Genomic DNA, 3418 nt, shown 5'->3' with positions numbered 1-3418 from the left:
ATGGTTCTCAGAACATATCCCCATTGTCAAATGATGCATAACAGAAATTACATACGGACAAGATTACAGAAAGAGCTGATTCTAGTGTTTATTGATAGAGGAATCAGGTGTCTGGTTTAAGACATGTAATGTTTGAAATGTCTATTAGACATTCAAATGGAGACATCAGGTAGATAATTGGACATACAAGAGTGAAATCTAGGCTGGAGTTATGAATCTTGAAATCTATAGCATTTAAAGCAAATTGGATTGAGATCACTTATGGAATGAGTTTACATAGAAAAGAGTGGTATTCTAACAATTGAGCTTTGAGATATTCCAAAGCTTAGAGATTGGAAAAATGAGAGATAACCCACAAAAGAAGGGAAAAGAATGAAAAGTGAGATAGGGGAGAATTTGTTGTCCTAAAGTCCAAGCACAAAAAGTAGTTCAAAAGTGAGAGACTAATTAACTGTGCCTAATTCTGTTGGAAGGGGTCAAGAAATTTGAGAACTGAAAGTAAACTGTTGAAATGAGCAACAAAGAGATCACAAAAGGTCTTGACAAGAGTAGTTTTGGTTAAATGGGGAAGAAAGATTTATGAAGTGGGTTCAAGAGAGAATGAGAAGAGAGGAAATAAAGATGAGTTTAGATAATTATTCCTTGAGTTTTGCTACAAGTAGAGTAGAATATAAACAGAAGATGATATAGGAACAGGGCAGGGTTTTGTAGGTGAGAGATATTACAGTATATGTGCATGTTGATTTAAATTATCCAGTAGAGAATGAAAATTTGATGATATGGAAGGGCAGCAGTGCTGGAATAATTAGATGTGGGAATGTTTTGGCAGTAGCCAGCAACGTTATTGAGGAAGGGAGCTAATGTAATCAGTTACATCGGACTCTTGTCTGTCTCTGAATTCACCCTCATATTAATCAGAATCACTTTATTCCTAGAGTATTAAACTCAAAATTTCTGACACCATCCTAGTATTTCATCTTCAATTTTTAAACTACTATACACACTTTCTCTCCTTGCTACAGCTGTTGTTGTCCCTGTTAATATTGTTAGAAATAAATTTTAACTCATTTTAAGTACCAACATAAATCTTTCTTTTCTCCTTGAAAGATGCCCTCCCCCTCCAGCATCTTTTCCTTTACGATGTCACCAACATGATAAAATGTAAAGAAAAGAGAAATATGTTCGGAGCGCCTTTGGTGACAGCATATTTAAAATCTATTCTTTCTGTTTTGTTGCAAGTAGAATTGAAAAGGGTATTGATTGCTCACAGAATCCCTAGGAAAGAAAATTGAGAAAGAATGCCCAAAATCATGTTGCATAACCAATTTGTGGAAGATACCACTCTGCAACCAATCCACCTAGCACTTTTGTTGGACTATGTCCCAGGGCCACTGCTGCTCCCAGCAGTGCTATCTTCCCCAAGTCCCTACTTGGGGAAGGAAATTCTTAACATGATCATGGCTGAGGGTTATGTATCTTTCTAGTGAAGTTCACATCAGCAGCAAAGGAGGCCAAGAAAGCAAGTGTCTAGTATTTTCAACTACTTTACTGGGAAGAAGGCCCACTTCTAAGTGTTTTAACTGACCAAGTTTCTGATTCCTATCACCACAGAGTTCCATCAGTCTAATTTTTGTAAATCTCATTGACATCTATCCTAGAAAGTATAAATGATGTATATATATCTTGTTGTTGTTAAGTCCTTGGTAAAATTTAGAATGTCTTAAAGTTTTCCATATTATCTTCCTATTAGGAAGGGAATATTTCCTTTAGAAGGGGAATACTTTCCAAACATGCTATATCTATAGAATACATTTTTGATCACCTACCATGTATCAGGTAGATACTAGTGATAAAATGCCAACACACTTTTCCTATTATCAAAAAGAGAGTTTATTGAGATATACAAGAATAAACATAATACTGTAAAACAAAGTGTGCTTAGGTGGTAGATGAAGAAGGACAGAAATTAACATTTATTGAGTGGTTACTCTGAATCTGACATGATGTCAGGCACTTATTTCATTTATTATCATAGCAATCTTCTATATTAAATATTATGAGAGAGGTTAAATGACATGAATTTAATCCATACAGGTAGTATGTGATGGAGCTGGGATGCAAATCTAAGCACTTCCTTTTCAGAAACATGTAGGTAGGAAAATTGTCTAGCTCTCTACTCATCAGTCCCCTATTCCATTCAGGTCTCACCTGCCGCTAAGTACCCATTCATTCAAGTCTAATATTTTAATAACATTTCTAGCCTTAAGAGCTCTGTAAGAACCTCTGTCTTAGTAGTTTTAGTATAAAGCTCATAAAAATAGTTAAGAATAGCTACCAGTAATAATTATCTATAACTATTTAGACTCTATGCTTCAGATTATAGCCTCCTGCTACACATACTGAAAAGTTTAAGTACTTGAACCATCTTAATTTTCCATCTCTCATAGGTCTCTGACCATTTTCCCTTAATCTCTCAGCCTGGTATCCTGATCCTTACAACCTGACAGTTTTAAACTGAATATTTTGTGTTATCACTCTGTTTCCTAGCTGACATCTCTGAACACAATCTCTTACCTTCCTATTTACCATTTAGCTAATATTACTTCTACATGGCCAACCCCAGATCCTGACTGCTTCTAACTTATCCTGCACACTTAGCATCCAAGACTCAGCAGGACAGTTAACTTTAGGAAAAGTCATAACAGCTCTAGTGAATAAAGTCAGCAAATAAAATTCAAAGGTAAACACAGAACTTCTGAGATTATAGTTGATAAGTTTAGTAACACCTGAGAATAGTTAGTAACACTTGTTCCTGTTTTCTGTCCAAATTTTTAAATACTCAACAGATAAATTTTATTGAGATGTGTCCAGCAGTTATTTTAGCAAATCTGCCTCATTTGACTTAGTCTAAATAGTAATCATTGGGTATTAAAATAGTTCAATCTGAGTAAGCATCTGAAGGTTTGTTCACAGTCCAGCAATTTTGGCAGATTAGAGAATAAAACATAAGTACTATTCTTTCAGAGACTGTGACCCACACAATTAAAAAATTCTAATTTTACCAGTCTGGCCTCTTCCATATCCTGCTGATTATATAGTGAAACTACTACTGCTCTATTTGCCCATGAACTTGAAGATATGGCTATGAAGCATCAAATGAAGTGAAGATTGGCAAATTATCTACCTATTTGAATAGGAATATCAACTATATAATTCAAACCCTCTATTTTCCTAGTTTTAGTCATTTTACTGAATCATTTGATTTAGCTGGCCACTTAGATCAAGTAATTAAATAAATGCTTAAACTATTAAGAACCTACTTGTGGACATCAAAACTTAAAACCATTCCCTGTTTCAAAAAATACTTGCTGCTGCTTACGTTACTTCTACTTGTATCCTAGGTATAGTCATGGCATCC

The 3418-nt window shown here is 34.8% G+C and overlaps 1 annotated feature.

The window, feature by feature from the left end:
- Positions 443-502: a silencer, noted in NCBI's record as "silent region_15648". NCBI's record gives its function as "represses an Ori minimal core promoter by ATAC-STARR-seq in GM12878 lymphoblastoid cells {active_cell/tissue: GM12878}" and the evidence as "EXISTENCE:reporter gene assay evidence [ECO:0000049][PMID:35858748]".

The sequence above is a fragment of the Homo sapiens genome, chromosome 4 (assembly GCF_000001405.40).
Source record: "Homo sapiens chromosome 4, GRCh38.p14 Primary Assembly".
Taxonomy (NCBI): Eukaryota; Metazoa; Chordata; class Mammalia; order Primates; family Hominidae; genus Homo; species Homo sapiens.
This window is presented reverse-complemented; position numbering and strand designations above follow the sequence as displayed.